General features: G+C 40.8%; 1 long non-coding RNA gene across 3 annotated transcripts in view; it reads left to right on the forward strand.

Moving 5' to 3' along the window:
• MIR3681HG (MIR3681 host gene) overlaps positions 1 to 19,353 on the forward strand; it is a 571,233-nt gene that overhangs the window by 68,692 nt on the left and 483,188 nt on the right. The window contains exon 3 of one of the 3 annotated variants that reach the window (NR_110198.1): positions 7,642 to 7,811. The exons of the other annotated variants lie outside the window; for them this stretch is intronic. This is a non-coding gene — a long non-coding RNA (MIR3681 host gene). Of the gene's footprint in view, positions 1 to 7,641; positions 7,812 to 19,353 lie in introns of those variants that run through there. 3 annotated transcript variants of the gene reach the window in all.

A 19,353-nucleotide genomic window follows, 5' to 3' on the forward strand; every position in this document is an offset into this window, starting at 1 on the left:
ACGTACTCATTTCTCTTGGGTATGAAACTATGATTGGGCAGGGTGGTTCGTACAGTAGGTCTATATTTAGGTTTAGTAGATACAACCAACTAGTTCCTTTAACTGTGTTTGTAATAATTTATATTCTCAATATTTAAGATTTTCAGTTGCAGTACATCCTCACGAAAACTTTATATTATAGTAATTTTGTTGTTTATTTTAGTTAATTTTTTAAAGATAAGTGTTGGTATCTTTTCATTTGTCCATTAGACACTTGGGCATGCACTTTTGCAAAGTCCCTGATCAAATCACTTGCCCCTTTTAAAAATTAGAGTTATTTGACTTTTTTCTTATTGGACAAATTGCTTGAACATGCACTTTAGAAGAAAGTTATGCAAAGAGCCAATAAACCCACTAAAAGATGCTTTCTTCTTTTACCAACCTCACAAACAAAACAAAGATGAGATACATCTTGAATAGGTCTTTGCCAACAGAGTGCCCTGGGCCCTGCTCTCTATTCATGGGTTTTATTGGAATCCTTTTTGAGCTAGAGCTAGAGCTGAAGGTAGATGGGCATGAGTGGGTCTAAACCCAATGCCCAGCTTCTAGAAAGCTTTCTCTTGGCACTCCTCTGCCCTTCCAAAATGGCAACTTCTCCCTAAGCCTACTGTGGCTTTTCTGGTATTTGGAATTGGCACAAATTATGATGCAAAATTGCCATTTTCAGCATTCAGGGTTCTTTTTTTTACCACTCCTACTTAGAATTTTCTCATGTAATCAGACAGAGGGAACATTATTATAATTTTCTCATGTAATCAGACAGAGGAAACATTATTTTAGCAATTGACACCAACATTCCTTGCTTGAACAAAATTCTGAGATAAGGGGTTGGGGTAGAGGGTTTGTGTATTGACAACAGATAAAATTTAAGGAGTTTTGCATGAGACAAGGGGAAGAATTGTATTGCTCTGGAGGGTGGGAAAGAGGCAGTAGAGAGGTGAGGACTACTGAGCCTCCTAGGGTCTTGCCAAAGTATTTTAAGATGATGATATCTACTCCTGCATTTTAAAATGCTAATGTGGTAGATTGTATTACTGTTCATCTATATTTGGTGCCACCGTCTGTGGGAGGATTATACATCTCCACACTCTTAGTACTCAGTTTCAGCCATGTGACTTGCTTTGGTCAATCAGTCATGAGTGAAATTGATGTGCGTGGTTTTCCAAGCAAAAGCTTTAAGCGTTTGTGAGTGAGTGATTCCCTCTTCTGTGATGACTGGCCCTCTTCCAGGTAACAAATGCTCTGCTGGCTTTGGTCCATGAAGAAGAAAATGGGAACAGAGCCAGGGCCGACTGTGATGTGCATGTAGGGTGAATGAACGTACAACTTTATTATTGGAAATCAGTAAGATTTGGGGGTCATTTGTTAGCTTAGTGTTACCTGGTTGATTCAGTATAGTTCTGCTATGCAAACCCTCCTTTGTTCTCTGTGCCTCCAACCAGGTCATCTCGAGCAAATTCTGCTGTATTCACTGGTCCTTTGAAAGAATAATTTTTGTTGGTGAATCAAGGAAGATGAGGCATTTTGGATCTGAGTTGAAGCACTGCTAAGATATCACCTGCTGAGCCAGGAGAAAAAGGATGCTCTTGAGAATATGAGTACCCTTACGATGCACTGAAATAGAATGGGAGGTTGAATCAATTTTAACCAGATATTCAAAAAGCAAGGGACTCCTGCCTAACAACTGGGCAGGAGTTGTCTTTGATGGGACTAACCTCTGAGATAACATGCGCCAGCACTACTCTATATAACTTGCATGTCCAGTTGTTTTTTATTTTCTAGATTTGGTGTGGAGATTGAAGATGGTCATAGCCTTGATTGAGGAAAGAGATCAATACTCAGATTACCACATGATAGGTTAATATGACAGATGGCTATACATGGTGAGGATGGGCCTGGGGTCCCTGGGCCAGTGGATGATATTGGGGATTTATGAAAGGGCACCGTTATTTAGAGAAATGGGAGTCTACTACTTGCTTAACCCTGGCTATTTTTTTTTTTTCTTAAAAATCTGTTCTTTTTAGGAGAAAATTCCAGATTGTAACTTTTAGCTGCCTGTCAGGCTTGTTGTTTGGTGTGCTTTGAGTTTTCACCTTTTTTTCTGTATTTGCAAGCTTTTTTTTTTTTTTTTTGTGGGGTGGGGTGGCATTGGGTAATTGAGAGAAGGTACATTAGAAGCTGCTATCTAGGTGTCATGTAAGCTATGTTTCTGCAAAGAAAAATTTTGTACTAGAAAATTGTGCAAGAAGTGAGAGCTGATTTTTTCATGACCTTTTCAAGCCCATGTCTCTAAATCTTGATGGGTGACCAGGCTCCTTCATGGAGGACTGGACCTTTATAGCAAGTGGCTCTTATTCCTTTGCTCAGTGGAATACAGCAGTGTTTTGGGGTGGCAACCTTTGGCTGGGGATTCTATTGGCCCAGTGGCAGGAATGGTGATTTTTTTCTTCCTCTGCATAATCTGCCTTTTTATTTATTTAAGGTGCAGGGCTTAATGCCCTTCTGAGTGAGCACGGTGGTGACTAGAGAGTTGCTGTCTCAGCTGCAGCTGATGGTTGCCGAGAGGAAATGTGGGCTCTGGATTATTATGCCTTTTCATAATTTTCAAGAGGAAGAAAACCCTCTAAAGTTTAATATATTGGCAAATAATTAAATATTTTTAAAGTGGTCTGGGACAAACACACCCAGGCTGCTGCTGATGCCTGCCCTCAAGGACACCAGAGTGTAGTTTCTCCTTTAGACTGTGGCATCTTTTCCTGGTGGCTCCTTCCTTGGTGAGCCCCCATTCCCACACAGGGACTTGGGATGGGCCAGAGATCAGTGGAATCTCATTCAGGCTGAAATTGGCTTTGTGGATTCCAGGACATGGATAACTCTCTGTGCCCAGGGTCTGCTACTCCTCTTTCCTAGAGTCCATCCATCTTTACAGCATCCGGGTCTCAGAGAACTGACCACATTGGTGGTAGCAGCAGAGTGCCTGGAAAGAAGGTCACCCACAGAAGATGGTGTGGGTGTCTCTGTATCTCTGATGACTCCTCATTTATGTTTCTCTCCCTGGCCATTCCTCTGAGCTTCAGACTCAGATCTCCAACTGTGGATCTGAATCTCCTCTTCCAAGTTTAGTAGCCATCAGACTTAACTTATCCCAAATGGAACTCCACTTCTGCTGCCCCCACCAATCTTTGTAATCCATTTGAGTTGCTGTTTTCCCATTCTTCCTAAGCAAATCTACGTATCTTCTTGAGAAAAAAGCATGTGTTTTCCTTGAGTCTTTTTTTTTTGCATCTTCATCCATCAGAAGGATAAAAAATATTCAAAAATATATCCTGAGACCAATATATATACAAATATATATTATATAACTTCCATTACACTATAAACTACCATTATCTCTTGCCTAGATTACTGAACTTATCTTCAAACCCATATCCCTGCTTCCCAAAAAGTCCATTCTCCATAAGATAACCAAAGAGTTCATTTAGCAATTTAGATTAGGTCACTTAAAAACAATACAAAACAAAACAAAAAACAAAAAAACACCTCTCTTGGCATTGCATTGCTCCCAGGACAAAGCCAAAGTCCTCTACCACGCCTACAAAGGCTTTCTGCTATCTGGCCTCAACCGGTATCGCCACTCTCCATCTAGCTCCACTCTCCCCTGACTTCCCTACCCGCGGCCACACTGGCCTTCCCCAGTGTGCAAAGTGCACTCCTACCCACGGCCTTTGCTCCCTCTTGTCTGGAGGGCTCCTCGGGCTCTCTTCCTAGCTGCTTCCGCACCTGTCTAGGTCTCAGCTCCAACCTGCCTCCTCAGAAAGGTCTCCCGTGGCCAGCACCTCCCCAGTCACACGCCGTATCACTCTTCTCTATTTCTTCAGAGGACTTGTCAATATTTAAATTATATTGGTTACATTTTGCGTAATTACTGCCAGTTTCCCCCAAATGAGAAATACAGGTTTTTTGGAGGGCAGGAACATTATCTTGCCTGTTGATCACTAAGCCCAGCTCTGCGAATAATGCTGGCACTCAATAGGTGTGTAATAAACCCTTGTTAAAAGAAAAAAATTAGCCGAATTAAATTATAAAAAGTTTAATTGTGCAAAGAATTGTGAATCTGGCAGCCTCTGAGCCAGAGTAGGCTCAGAGACTCCAGCACAGCCACGTGGTGGAAGAGGATTTATGGACAGAGAAAGGAAAATGATTTATAGAAATTGGAAGTGAGGTACAGAAACAGCCCGATTGGTTACTGTTTGGCATCAGTCTTATTTGAACACAGTTTGAACAACTTGCCACCTTTGGCCAAAACTCGGTGACTGGCACAAGCGTAGGCTACAGTCTATTTACAACTCTATGTACGTTATAGCTCATGATGTACAGAGAAATCTTTAGGCCGAACTGAAAATATGTAAGGAAGCAGCTTTAGGCTAAACTTGATTTAACATACTTTTAAAAGAATAAAGAAACTGTGAAAGCATATTTTTTTTTCCAGTGACATAAAATGATACTATTATCTTGTGCACTGGGGCTCCCAGTAGCATTTGTCAGCAGCTTTGGCAGTGACAGGAATTGTGGCAAGACAGAATAAAGGCTCCTCAAAGATGGCCATAACCTGATCCCAGAACTGACACAGATGTCACCTTACATGCGAAAGGGACTTCACAGCAGTGATTAAGCTAATGATCTTGAGATGGCGAGTTTACCCTGGATCATCTGGTGGGCCCGAGGTAATCCCAAGGGTCCTTATAAGAGAGAAGTGACAGGGCCGGATTCAGGGAAGGAGTGTGCTGATGAAGGCAAAGTTTTGAGTGATTTGCTTCTAGAAGAGGGAAAAGGCTAGGAATGAGTTCTCAGCTGGAGCCTCCAAAAGGAAAGCAGTTCTGCTGACACCTTGGTGTTAGCTCCATAAGACTCATTCCAAATATCTGCACACAACCTACACAACCGTAATTTGACAAATTTGTGTTGTTTTAAGCCACAGAGGTTGTAGTAATATGTTTCAGCAGCCGTAGGAACCGGGTACAATAATGATTTCATTTTTCATGATCATCAGCAATGTCTGAGATTTCCAGAGAATCCGATGCCTAGTCCATCTGGGGATCGGAATAGGAGGGAAATAAATGATGATTTTATAGGAGCATTCCATACTAGCAGAGGCCACTTCTATTTCAATACAATACCATTTAGGCGGGCGGATCACGAGGTCAGGATATCGAGACCATCTTGGCTAACACGGTGAAACCGTCTCTACTAAAAATACAAAAAATTAGCTGGGCATGGTGGCGGGTGCCTGTAGTCCTAGCTACTCGGGGGGAAGAGGCAGGAGAATGGCGTGAACCCGGGAGGCGGAGCTTGCAGTGAGCCGAGATCGCGCCACTGAACTCCAGCCTGGGAGACAGCGAGACTCCATCTCAAAAAAAAACAAAAACAAAAAAAACAAAAACAAAAAACCATTGTATTCCCATTGTTAGACACAGTGTACAGCAGTTGGGGCACAATAATTAGTTATTGAATAAACATATGTGGTATCTCCTGTAGGCTCCCTGAAATAGTTAAACTTTGAAGAGGGCCTGGAATTCCCAAAAGGGCAGGTGGGAATTGAGGCAGGCAAATACAGCAGGTCCTCAGCAGTTACAGGGGGCCAGGCCTGAGAACTTCTGTAAATCTCAAAATTCACCAATTAAAAAAAAAGGTAGAATAGATTGAAGACGTCATCCCCAAATCACATTTCAATCAACAGGCAGGTATTTCCTGTGCATACCTTTCTAAGAAAAATCTTTTAAATTTTATTCATGCATTTTTTTTTTTCATGTGAGAGCTGTTTTTTACTCAGAAGCATTTTATCTTTCACAAAATCTGTCGTGTACCCAGTAACGGTGGCAAATCACAGAGCCATGCAGACACGTGCTAGGCTCACTCACTACTCAAGCACCTTGGTGGATGCAGCGTCTGGGTGATGTTTTGCAAAGTGCAAATGAATACCCATTATGGGTGTTTGGACTTTTTGGGGTGTTACATTATGAATCCATGTTTGTAATTATAATTGCGAGCCTAGTTCTAACCCCAGAAGAATCTGGCTCTGGGAAACATGGATGAAAGTTTGGGAACTCCCCCAAAGACCCATAAATCATGTGGGGCACTTGTCTGACCTCAGAGTGACAACTAATGTCTGGGATAGTGCTGGGCTGGCGCTGCCTATAGACTCGTGTGAAGGGACAGATGACACACTCATGGATCATCATTGCTGGTTTTCGAACATACCAGTTCTCAGTAGCAATTTTTAGGGGCTCATTAAAAAATAAAAAAACACGTGGGTTGTGGTGGCTCATGCCTGTAATCCTAGCACTTTGGGTGGCCGAGGCAGGCGGATCGCTTGAGCCCAGGAGTTTGAGACCAGCCTGGGCAACATGGCGATACCCCGTCTCTACAAAAAAATTGGCCTGTCCTGGGGGTGGATGCCTATAGTCCCAACTACCCTGGCTGCTCAGGTGGGAGGATCACCTGAGCCTGGGAGGTTGAGGCTGCAGTGAGCTGAGATGACACCACTGCACTCCAGTCTGGGTGACAGAGCGAGACCTTGACCTGAATAAATAAATAAGTAAATAAATAAATAAATAACTTTCCGTTTTTTTCTCCTACTGATTGTTTTTCTGAGTTTAACTGCTCATTATTCCCTTCCTTTATAGAATCAGAATTTTAGAACCCTTTCAGCTTTTAACCAGTGGCTTTACTTCTGCCTTTCCTATCGAAAAGAAGTTCACTAAAGATTTAAGAATGGCTTTTTGGGCCGGGAGCAGTGGCTCACGCCTGTAATCCCAGCACTTTGGGAGGCTGAGGCTGGTGGATCACCTGAGGTTGGGAGTTCGCCTGCCCAACAAGGTGAAACCCCGTCTCTACTAAAAATACAAAAATTAGCTGGGCGTGGTGGTGCACATCTGTAATCTCAGCTACTCAAGAAGCTGAGGCAGAATTGCTTGAACCCGGGAGGTGGAGGTTGCAGTGAGCCGAGATCGTGCCACTGCACTCCAGCCTGGGCAACAGAGCGCGACTCTGTCTCAAAAATAAGTAAGTAAATAAAGAAATAAATAAATAAAAATGAATAAGTAAATCAATAAAAAGAATGGCTTTTTGGTTTCTGTTATTGTTTTGCAACTTTTGTCTCATATCCTCTAGAGGAAATTCTCTTCTCTGGCTCTTGAATCAGCTCTGACAGCTCCGAGTGCCAGGACCCTGGGTAATTAGTGGCACTCAGAAGGAAAGTGGCATTTACATCTGATTACCTTTGGAAACTTGCATCTGGGGTTTCCTGCAGAGAAAGCTAGGTTGGGTTTCAAAGTCAGCCACTGCCTCATCTTCCAGGATCACTGATTAGGAACAGGCTGTTCCCCAAGGCCATTTCCATTTCTATGGCAGGCTTTGAATAGAACTAATACATTTTAGAAATGCAAATGGGTTTAATTCGAGCAAAGTGAATGACAGGCTAAGCTAGAATCTTACTTTTTACCAGTTGCTTCCTGCAGCAATCTTTCAGGCAGATGTTTTTGGCAAGAGGATAATGCCAAGTTCACATAATGATGATAAGGGGTCACAATGCTTGCTTTGCAGCTTCGGAAGTCCCATTTAACAACTGCTCCCAGTACAGCATGAGAAGTGACCCAGAGCACAGCGATCGCACGCGCAGCGTGCTCTACAGAAGGTGCATCCACAGATGGCGGGCCAGCCGGCTCCCAATATAGTTTTTAACATAAATGATGAAAATAAAAACCCTGAAGAAACGCCAACATCAGTACTAGCTCTTTTTGCATTACAAAGTGCTTCACATACATCATTTTATTTTATTAGACTCCTTGTTCTTTTAAAAGGTAAAAATAAGGCACGAAGTAAGGACACAGACTGTGTGCACTGGGGACAAGCATCCTGGCTCTGCCCAGTGTCAGGGCCCAATCCCCTCACAGTGCAGGATGCCATCAGTGAGACAGAAATGTCAGGGGGAGTGAGAGAGAGGCTCTTTTGTGCCGGCCAAAATGTCAGAGGCCTTTGAACCATAGTGACTCCATCTTGAATAGGGACTGGGTAAAATAAGGCTGAGACCTGCTGGGCTGCATTGCCAGGAGGTTTGGCATTCTAAGTCACAGGATGAGATAGGAGATTGGCACAAGAGACAGGTCATAAAGACCTTGCTGACAAAATAGCATGTGGTAAAGAAGCCGGCCAAATCCCACCAAAACCAAGATGGTGAGGAAAGTGACCTCTTGTCGTCCTCACTGTTCATTATATGCTAATCATAATGCATTAGCATGCTAACAGACACTCCCACCAGCACCATCACAGTTTACAAATGCCTTGGCAACATCAGGAAGTTACCCAATGTGGTCTAAAAGGGGGAGGAACCCTCAGTTCTGGGAGTTGTCCACCCCTTTCCGGGAAAACTCATGAATAGTCCATCCCCTGTCCAGCATATAATCAAGAAATAACTACAGGTATTTTTAGTTCAGCAGCCCAAGCTGCTGCTCTGCCTATGGAGTAGCCATTCTTTATTCTTTACTTTCTTAAGAAACTTGCTTTCACTTTATGGAATCCCCCGAAATTCTTTCTTGTGCGAGATCCAAGACCGTCTCTTGGGGTCTGAATCAGGACCCCTTTCCGGTTACAAACACACTCCAGCCAGGTGAGCATTTATCACTCCTGTATACAGGACCTTCCAAGGCACTGCATTTCCTAGAAAAACCTGGACCCACCAAGGCACCTGATAAAAGTTCAGATAATATGTAGGCTTCAGATATCAAAGTATATTTTTTGAGACCCTTGACTCTAAAGCTTGGTAGGTTATTATGCCATGATTCTAAGTTCCATTATCACCCTATAATTCTTATAAATAGCACTAATTGATATTATTAATGTAATATGAAAAGAATCAGCAATTAATATATATTGTCAGTATCCATGATATTAATGCTAGCTTTAATCCATAAGACACATAATAGTTTATGAAGCATTTTTATATCCATTGTCTAATTTGAGTTGCACAACCATGCCGTGAAGCAGGGATTAGAAATTTCACTTTTCAGGTGAGGGTGCAAACTATGTTGGCTTGTCTGTGGACATTGAGAAAGTAAGTTGTGGAGGTAAGATTTGAATCCAAATTTTTCTCGAACTCTCCAAACCTTTCATCCCTCCTACATGGACTCAAACAATGAGACCTTTTTTAAAATTTTATTTTATTATTATTATTTTTTGAGGTGGAGTTTCACTCTTGTTGCCCAGGCTGTAGTGCAATGGCGTGATCTCAGCTCACTGCAACCTCCGCCTCCCGGGTTCAAGCGATTCTCCTGTCTCAGCCTTCCAAATAGCTGGGATTACAGGCATGCGCCACCACACCTGGCTAATTTTTGTACTTTTAGTAGAGATGGGGTTTTGCCAAGTTGGCCAGGCTGGTCTTAAACTCCTGACCTCAGGTGATCCACCCGCCTCGGCCTCCCAAAGTGCTGGGATTACAGGTGTGAGCCACTGTGCCTGGTGGAGACTTTTTATTAAAAAAAAAAAAATCCTGAGAACTAGCAACCAGGGTGGCCTCTGGAAATTTTGAAGGAATGCTGACAAAAAAGGGATAATAATTTTGAAAATACTTTTCCCTTAGGAGGAATTCTGTGAGGGAACACCTCCTATTGTTCTACAAATGAAGAAACCTAGTCTCAGGAATCAGTGACAAAGCCATGATCATAAAGTTAATATGTAACATGTAGCTTGGCTCTCGGAATCTTAGAAATTGTGTTCTATTAAACCATGTTTGTCTCAAAATAAAGCCCGTTACCTTTGATTAGATTAGAAGGATGAGCAAAGGTTTTGATAAATTTAAAAAACAATAAACTGAAACTAAAAATACAATAGTCTAATCTGAATATGGTGTTACTCGGAAACACTCCCTCAAATTCTTCCAACCTAGCCATTTCTCTGTTATATCCGCTCCCAGATACACAAGCATCTTTGATTCCAGGGTTTAATCTTTACACACATTCTTATATTGGATTTTAAAATCCATTTGTTTTAATCTACAATATCATAAGATGAATGTATTAAAAATACATTGATTTTTCTAACGGTCTATATTTGTATCTATTTCAAAGCAAACACGAGGGTAAATCTCAATACATGGTATACACATGTTCCTAAACAACTGGATAGTTTGTGGGGCCAGACACAGTAGCTCATGTCTGTAATCCCAGCACTGTGAGAGGCCAAGGTGGATGGACAATCTGAGGTTAGGAGTTTGAGAGCAGCCTGGCCAACATGGTGAAACCCCGTCTGTAGTAAAAATACAAAAATTAGCTGGGCATGGTGACATGCGCCTGTAATCCCAGCTACATGGGAGGCTGAGGCAGGACGACCGTTTGAACCTGGGAGGTGGAGGTTGCAGTGAGCTGAGACAGCACCACTACACTCTAGCCTGGGCCACAGAGCAAGACTCTGTGTAAAAAAAAAAAACCCAAAACTGGATAGATTGCAAGCATGAACACAGAATATCTTCATATTTTCGTGGGTACATTTTACAAAATAAAGACAGAACTATAATAAGTATATACCATAAAGAACAAAAAGTAGCACATGAAAGTTATTTTTTCGCAGACAGAAATCTCTTTAAAATTCATCTTATTGTTAAAGTATATCAGTTAACCTTTAACACATCAAACAATACAGAAATATATAGAAAACAAAATAAAAACTCTACCATCTACTTTTTTGAGAGAACTGTTGGTAACTGGCAAATATACTTTTAGCTTTTAAACTTTTTAATGTGGTTAATAAGTACATATATGTGAATACTATATTATTTTCAATAAAAGTGGAGCTATATATACTAGTCTGTGACCTTTCACATTTAACAATATGTGAGAAAAATCTTCTCATCTTTATTTATATATCTTTCTATATATCCATATACTTATATATACTTCTTTTTTTTTTTTTGGAGACGGAGTCTTGCTTTGTTGCCCAGGCTGGAGTTCAGTGGTGTGATCTTGGCTCGCTGTAACCTCTGTCTCCCGGGTTCAAGCAATTCTCATGCCTCAGCCTCCTGAGTAGCTGGGACTACAGGTGCACATCACCACGCTCAGCTAATTTTTTGTAATTTAGCAGAGATGGGATTTCACTGTGTTGCCCAGGTTGGTCTCCAACTCCTGAGCTCAGGCAATTGGCTCACCTTGTCTTCCCAAAGTGTTAAGATTACAGGCGTGAGCCACCGCACCTGGCTGATATATATAATTCTAGATTTATGATGTTAAACTAAGTTTAGCCTACAGCTGCCTCCTTACATATTTTAAGTAATGGCTAAAGGTTTCTCCATACATAGTCGAACCTATGTATGTTCCACTGTAACCTAACTAGGCATGTAAACAGTCTGTAACCTACTGTTGTACCAATCACTGTGTTTTGGCTGCTCAAAGGTGGCTAACAGTTCAAACAGTGCTCAAATAAGCCAGATACCAAGCTGTAACCAATCCAGCTGTGGCTATACCTCACTTCTGTTTTCTGTATGTCTCTTGCCTTTTCCTGCCCATAAATTTTCTTCAACCCCACTGCAGCACCTGAGTCTCGCTGAACCTATTCTGGTTCAGTGGGCTGTGTGATTCATGAATCATACTCCACTCACTTAAACTCTGTTACATTTAATTTGGCTGAAGTTTTTCTTTAACAATATCTATAACTCTTTATCCATATATGTGTATGTTTCAATATATCTTATCTTTTTACTGTATAATATATTCCTTAAATGTGCTATAACTTATTTATATCACATGATAGCCAATTTGGATGTTTCTAGTTTTTCACTATTGAAGATCATGATACAATGAATGTGCCTTATATATTCATTTGAATAATTTTTCAGTTACTTTCTGCATTAGTCAGTGTTGGCCAGAGAAACAGAAACAATAGGATAGATAGATAGAAAGAGGTTTATTGTGAGACACTGGCTTATGCAACTTTGGAGGCTGAGAAGTCCCGTGATCTGCCATCCACAAGCTGGAAAACTAGGGAAGCTTGTAGTGTAGTTCAGTTCAAGTCCAAATGCCAGAGAGTGAGAAGTGCTGATATCTGAAGGCAGGAGAAGGTGGATGTCCTGGCTCAAAGCAAATCTGCCTTTCCTCCTCCTTTTCATTCTATGCAGGTTCTCAACAGATTAGAGGGTGTCCACTCACATGGGTGAAGGTGGATCTTTTTTACTCTGTTTATTGATTCAAATGCTAATCTCTTCTGGAAACACCCTCACAGATACACCCAGAAATAATGTTTTACCAGCTCTCTGGGCATCCCTTAGCCCAGTCAAGTTGAGTCATAAAGCTAACCATTACATTGCCTTAGGCAAAAATTCCTCTAAGTGTAATTGCTAGATTATTTCAGGTTTTGACACATATTGCTCAATTGCCCTCTAGTAAGACTTTAGAGAAGGCAATTGAGCATCAGTAGCATATATGGATTCCCTTTGTAATGCCCCCCTCATGACAATTTTTGAGAACTTTTGCTGCAGATTTTTAAACTTAATGTCATTCTACTCAAACTCTAGTATTTTCTCCTTCAGAAAATAATACAATTAAGAATGTAAAAAGATAAAATCAGTCATGAAGATAAATTTAAATATAATGTAAATTAGAGCCATGCAGAGCAAGTCCAAGATGGTCAATAATGAGCTGTAATTGCAATTGTCCAGGTGAGCGATAATAAACACCTGAGACAGAGCTGTGGCAAGGACCCTAGGGAGGGGGCACACATTTAGGTAGGAGGATCAACAGACCACTGATGTAAGAAAATGGGGAGATGGAGAGTCTTCAAAAAGAAAAAAGAATTTCCTATCTCTTTGAGACATTTCACATACAGGGCTGAGCCTCCAGTATCACCAAAGCCTTAACGTTCTTCTCCCCAAGGAGTTTCTCCCTAACCCTTTCTTTCCAGTTAAGACCTCTCTCTTCCCAGGCAAGGCTGCTGTGAAATCATGGTCATTTCTTGGCCTGGGTTTCAACTTCCTCCTTGTCCCTAGCCTCAGATGTGTGCATCCCCATCCTGGGCCCTTGCATTTTTTGCTTTGTTCTTGAATGAACAATTTCATTCTCATTTTCTCTAACACAAAGAACTCCCATTCTCCTTTACTGTGCTTGCACAATACAGTGAGGACCTGTTATGATAACAAGACAATCAGGGTGTCCATAAATCCTGTGTGTAGGATCATGGTATGTTTGAATCAGTACAAGAATCTTGTCCTTCCCTTTCATTCTTTCAATATCCACTTGAGGCCAGGCACTTAGTTCTCACTACCTATCATATCTCATTTAATCATCACATGGACTTGGAGTCATTTGTTTATTCAGAGACAGGCAACAAATAATATGTTGATCACTCATTATGTGCTGGCACTGGTCTATGTACTAAAGATAATGTAATGAACACAGCGTCAAGATCCTGCCCCTAGGAAGATTACATTATGGTGGGAAAAACACCCTAAATAAATACACAGATATGTGAAATAGTTATGGGCAATGGTGACTGTTAGGAATGAAAGTTAAATAAGGTGAGAGCAAAGTGGGTGATGAGGAGATGGAGAGAATAAGAGTGGCTGTTTTAGATGGAAAGGTGAGAGAAAGTCTCTCTGAGAGGTGGCATTGGAGGAATGGCCTTACTAAGGGGAGGGATCAAATGCTTCATAGTTCAAAGGAAAAGGCACAGAAAACAGCACATGCAGAAGTCCTGGGTAGAAAAGAGCTCAGCACGTTTGAAGAAGGGACGGCCAGTGTGTCTGGAGCCACCGAGCAGAGGGGACAGTAAGCAGATAGATATGTGGTGGGAAAGTGGGCAGGGCAGGCCCCAGGGCCTCGGGGCCATGCCCAGAGCTTCACAGATTTGGCTCTGCTTGTGTTAGGAGGCCACGGATGAGGGCTGAGCAAGGGAGTGTGCTGATCTGCAATTTACATATTTTAGCAGATTGCGTTGATTTTGTGGGGAGAAAAGATGGGCAGTGGGGCAGGGGGAGGAACAGGACAAGAGCGAGAACAGAACAGTTAAAGGTTTATTGTTGTCAGGCAAGAGTTGATGCTGGCTTTTATTGTACTCATTTACCAGATGAGGAAATGGTAACTCTTAGAGGTTATACTGTTATCACAGCATCTCTAGCCTTTAAAACAGTCCTAGGATCTCAATGGATACTTTTCTGAATCAAGCTGAAAAAAAGAGCCTAACTGACTTGCCCAAGTGCAAAACAACAATTAAGGGATAGTCTCGTCATTCAAATCTGCCTGGTTCCAAGTCCGGGACTCTTTCCTCTGAGCTTGAATGCTGTTTCTAATACAATACAAGCTGATCTGCATGCCATTTTCCACTAATGATATAATTATGATTGATAGTATTAATCAAAAAGGAAATGAGAGAATATGCTGACTGTTTTTTTTTTTTAACCATTGGCTAACTTATTACTTCATTTTCAGATGCTGGAGTTATGACACTTATAGACAAAATTAAGTGTAATAACCAAGAATAGGCACTTATAAGAATAACCGAAACAATAACTAATGTCCTTAATCAAGGAGGACTGACTCTCTAATTTCTAATATTAAAAAACCCAGAGTTAATAGTTAACAGTTACTTAATGCATTATGTTCCAGACACTATATGCTTTGCATATGTTACAGCTAGTTTTTAATAGGAGACTTTAGCTGACATTGCTGTCTTCAACTTATTGATTAGAAAAAAATAGACTCATGGAGTTTAAGTAACTTGCCTATGATTAGAAAGCTGCTAAATGGCAAAACAGGAATGAAAACTCTGAAATGTGTCTCTGTGGGGAAGAGAGGGAATCAGTGGTTTCCAGCAGTCTGGTCCTTTTGGGCTCCTGCCCTGGCTGCCTCAGGATCAAGCCCAGGATCAAAGCCACAGGGAGGTGGGCGGCTCAGTGTGGCCAGAGCTGAACAGTCTCATGGAGCCAGCATGGTTGGTGAAAGTCCGGATGGATTGAGTTGTGTGCTGTTTGCTTTGATTAAGAAATAGTCACAATTCCATCATGACGTTGGTTGAATTAAAATGAACACAATGGAAAATAAAGTAGACCCAATTTTTAAAATACCATGCAGTAGGCAAAGAAGATAGATTTGAGTAGGACAGGTGAGGGGCGTCTATGTAAACAATTTTTATTTTCAGATTGCCTTGTTGTAGACAAAAGCATTGAAACATGAAAGGAAAAAAATTATACCTTTTGCAACATAAATTACTTACCTCTCTTTCTAATTCTCCTCTTTTATTTTTATTTCCTTCCTCTGCCCCATGAAAATAATTTTGTTTTCCATACAAGTGTTGTTGTTGTTTTTTATGTTATTATATTCCTGCAAATAATCGGAATCTCCTTTTGTCTGAGAAATTGGGAGCATTGTCTGAAATCCTCCAGTTTATTAGTTAGAAAGGATAGAATTTTTCTTCTCATCTATCATTCATGGTTTGCTACTGTGAGTTCACAAAGCCAGGAGCTTTCAAAAACTGGAAAGTAATATTGGGGAAGTAGGCAGAAAAAGAATGTTAACATTCTGAGACAGAATTCTAACACCCTGCTGGCCATCTATATGACACTGGTGTAATCATTCTTCTGGTGAGTAAGAAGCAGAAATAAATCAGTAATTTTACTTTGAAAATTTTATATTACATAGTGAGGGTGGTGAGCACAGAGCAGACTGACATATTTACTTTTCTTAGCAATGGAAGGTCTTCACATTTGTGAAGAAAAGAAAACAATCTAAAGAATGCTACGGGTTGGAACATCTCCAAAAGCTTGGCACAGTCATAGTGGGTATATGGAACTAATCATACCGACTCTCTTCTCCCCACAAGTTGGTTTCAAATAAGTGATATGCCAGTAAAGAATATGCATGGAAAATTATAAATTACTATATACACAGAGTAGATTAGCTGCATGTGATACCGACAACTAAATTGTTAGCCTTATGAGAAAGCCACTGGGCCTATGCCCATTTCCCTGATACCCTTACATCTGGAATGGCACCCCCTCTTCTCCCAAACTGCAGGGTCTGGTTACCCCCAGTGCAGTGTGTTACTGGCCAGCTTGACCAATACTCTAGACCTGGGCTCTATTATCCTTGTCACCCTTATGTTTTTACTTTTTATCTGTCCGATCTTGACTTTATTTTTGGATTTATTTTATTTGAATTTGGTGATGTAGATTCCAAACTAAACCACTCAGTTCTCAATTTGTTCTGTGTTGAGACTGGGCTTTCATTCTGAAAGTCCTTCAGCTTGGGTAGCCATGTCTTGCTCCGCAGCTGGGAATAAGCTATACTCTGGTCTTGGCTCCCTTTCATCCCTAAATGTAGCCAAAGTGGAGAGATAAGACCCAACACTCAGAAACGTCCTACCTAAGTGAGAGTCTCCATCTCTGTCTCATTCATAGTTTTTTTATCCATACCTTTTTCTCCATATCTTCACGACCTTGAGATTTGCATGCTATATTTTCCCATGTTGTCTTGTTTTACCCCCAGGCCTGATGTTTGACACTGACTCTGACTAGAATGTTTTCCCATATCAACCATTCTTTTTTTGTATGTGTGTGACGGAGTCTCACTCATTTGCCCAGGCTGGAGTGCAGTGGCGCGATCTCGGCTCACTGCAAGCTCCGCCTCCCGGGTTCACGCCATTCTCCTGCCTCAGCCTCCCGAGTAGCTGGGACTACAGGCGCCCGCCACCACGCCCGGCTAATTTTTTTGTATTTTTAGTAGAGACAGGGTTTCACCATGTTAGCCAGGGTGATCTCGATCTCTTGACCTCGTGATCTGCCCGTCTCGGCCTCCCAAAGTGCTGGGATTACAGGTGTGAGCCACTGTGCCTGGCCTGTATCAACCATTCTTACCACATGTGATTTGGTTTTTTTATGCTTTGGGAATCCACCTTCCCAGTTTAGCTGAACTTTCTAGACCCCATTCCTGACATTCTCTCCAGGGCTAGCACTGGATTTGTCCAGGAGCTCAAAGAAAACATTGTCTTCTGTCCTTTGTGGGACCTGGAAACACAATGTGTAAATAGAAAGTGGACAAAAACCACAGGCTAAATGAGAAACAGTATTATTACATGCTGCTCCTGCTGGAGCTTACCAAGTCCGCACAAAAAGTTTGCTCTGTGTAAGTAGACAAATCTTGACTGATTATTTGATACGGGCGTTGACTTGATATTGGTTCTGTTATTGCAAGTTGGCTTTACACTGAACTATTTATAGCTGGTGAAGTTTATTCTCATTCTTCTAGTTCAACTGAAATATAACTATTCTATTACATCCCGGGTTTATCCTCCCCCCCTGGAATTGTTTCTCCTTTCCTTAACTACATTATTTATATATATCTTTCGTCCTTATTTTTTTTCCTGCCTTGTATTACCATTAACTGGATACATGTCAATCATTAGACTGAAATCAACATCTGGAGAGTGGAGATAATAATAGTATCTACTTCATAAAGTTGGTGTAAGCAATGAAAACACTACTGTGTATTCAACATTTTAGTCTGTATAATGACCATTATTGTTATTTAAGGTGTAAAATAAATTTTATCCATATCTCTATAAATCACCCTGTCCCTAGTGGCATTCACAGTTCTTTATATGAATAACTATTTGCCAAAATGAATTTACTGCAATATTCATTATCAGAACTACCAAAGGGTTGAAAAGCTTTTTTGAGATTATTTTCTTGTACTCATTGAGTTACAATTAATTTTACTATACCTATATTAGGGGTAAGTAAATTAGGGAAGTAGTTAGAGTTAGGTTTAAGAAAGATTTTCTCCTGTTAAATGACAAGTCCCTTATGGACATCAACTTTTAATTCTTATGTCTTTAGCATACAACATAATAAAAATCAGCACATCATGCTTTGTTGAATAAATGTAAAAAAAAACTTGCTCCACTAATCTGGGGTGCAAAAGGAAGGCACATTTATTTTAATATAAAAATCAAATCTCCAAGCCCCCACCTTGCCAACCATGAGTATCTTTCTCTTGTCCCAGAGTACCCCGATCTAACTCTCTTTGGACAGTTCCATTTCATGCACCCCAGACATTCTTACTCCATTCAGGGAATTAGTCTTGGCTGGCTGAGTGACGAGAGAGAATATCGGGAAAAGGTCCTCGAAGAAGCCCATTCTCTTTAACTGTTGTTGCTTCTCTGAAGCCAGTGCCTGCCTTGTCTGTTATCTTTGATTGCCTGGACACACCTCCACACAAATCTGGTGGCCCAAATACTGAGTGTTTCAATGGCAGGGGCAACTGCCACCCTCAATGGTTTAGCAGAAGGTGCAGGGGGAGAAGACAGTATCTCTGCGTCCCGGGAACTTGCTTTAGTAATGGTTGCTCCCATCTGACATCTCCATCTCACCTCTATAGCTCCACAGCTCTTCCGGTTTACATGCTCACAAATGATCACATGGCACTGGTGGCCACACACAGTGCAAGTGTGGCTGAGTCAGGAGGGCTTCCAGCCCTTTTGCACAGAGCCCTTTCCCAACATCTTTTTGTCTTGGCAGTGAATGAGGAAGTTCTTCCATCTTTTGATCCTAAGGCCAGTCTCATTTCTTGACCAGGGTAATTGACATGTCTTTTAGGGTGAAAACTCCTCCTTGTCAAAAATGAACAAATAAATGAAGCCTATCAGCATAATTAAGGAGTTACCTAATAATCTGTCACTAAAATCACAGCATCATGAATACGCATTCATTAGGTTATGAATTCATATGTTTAACCAATAAACCCTACACTATGACTTTAAAGAACAAATTGAACAAAACCAAATATTTTTATGCATTGGTAACTTGGCACACCATTGAGTAATTGTGTATACTTTTGCCTATCTTCGAGCTCTCATTATGTTTCTCATGTTCTTTTCAATTATTTGTGAATCTTTACATGCTTTCATTGGGAACATTCATTTTGGTTTATTTTTCTAAGCCTATGGTTTGTCTTAAATCTGCATGGAACATAACTTTTACGAGGGCTTTAATTCAGACTTCAGAATTTCTATCAAATGATGGCAATATAATGCCATGAGGTGGCAAAAATTATGCTTACATTACATAAGAGTAATTTAAAATAAAATAAATTCAGAGTCTAACATGGTGAAAACAAAATCAAAAGAAGTAAAATAGGAATAGCTATCTGAAATGAATGTAAAATTAAAACACATTTTAGTAAAAGAACTTAGAAAATGGACAAACTAACATAGATTAAAAAAATCAATGTAGAGTTGCCAAGAAATCATCATGATTGGAAGTTGTGATTCTCAGCTTTTATT

This window comes from Homo sapiens, chromosome 2, assembly GCF_000001405.40.
Source record: "Homo sapiens chromosome 2, GRCh38.p14 Primary Assembly".
Classification (NCBI taxonomy): domain Eukaryota; kingdom Metazoa; phylum Chordata; class Mammalia; order Primates; family Hominidae; genus Homo; species Homo sapiens.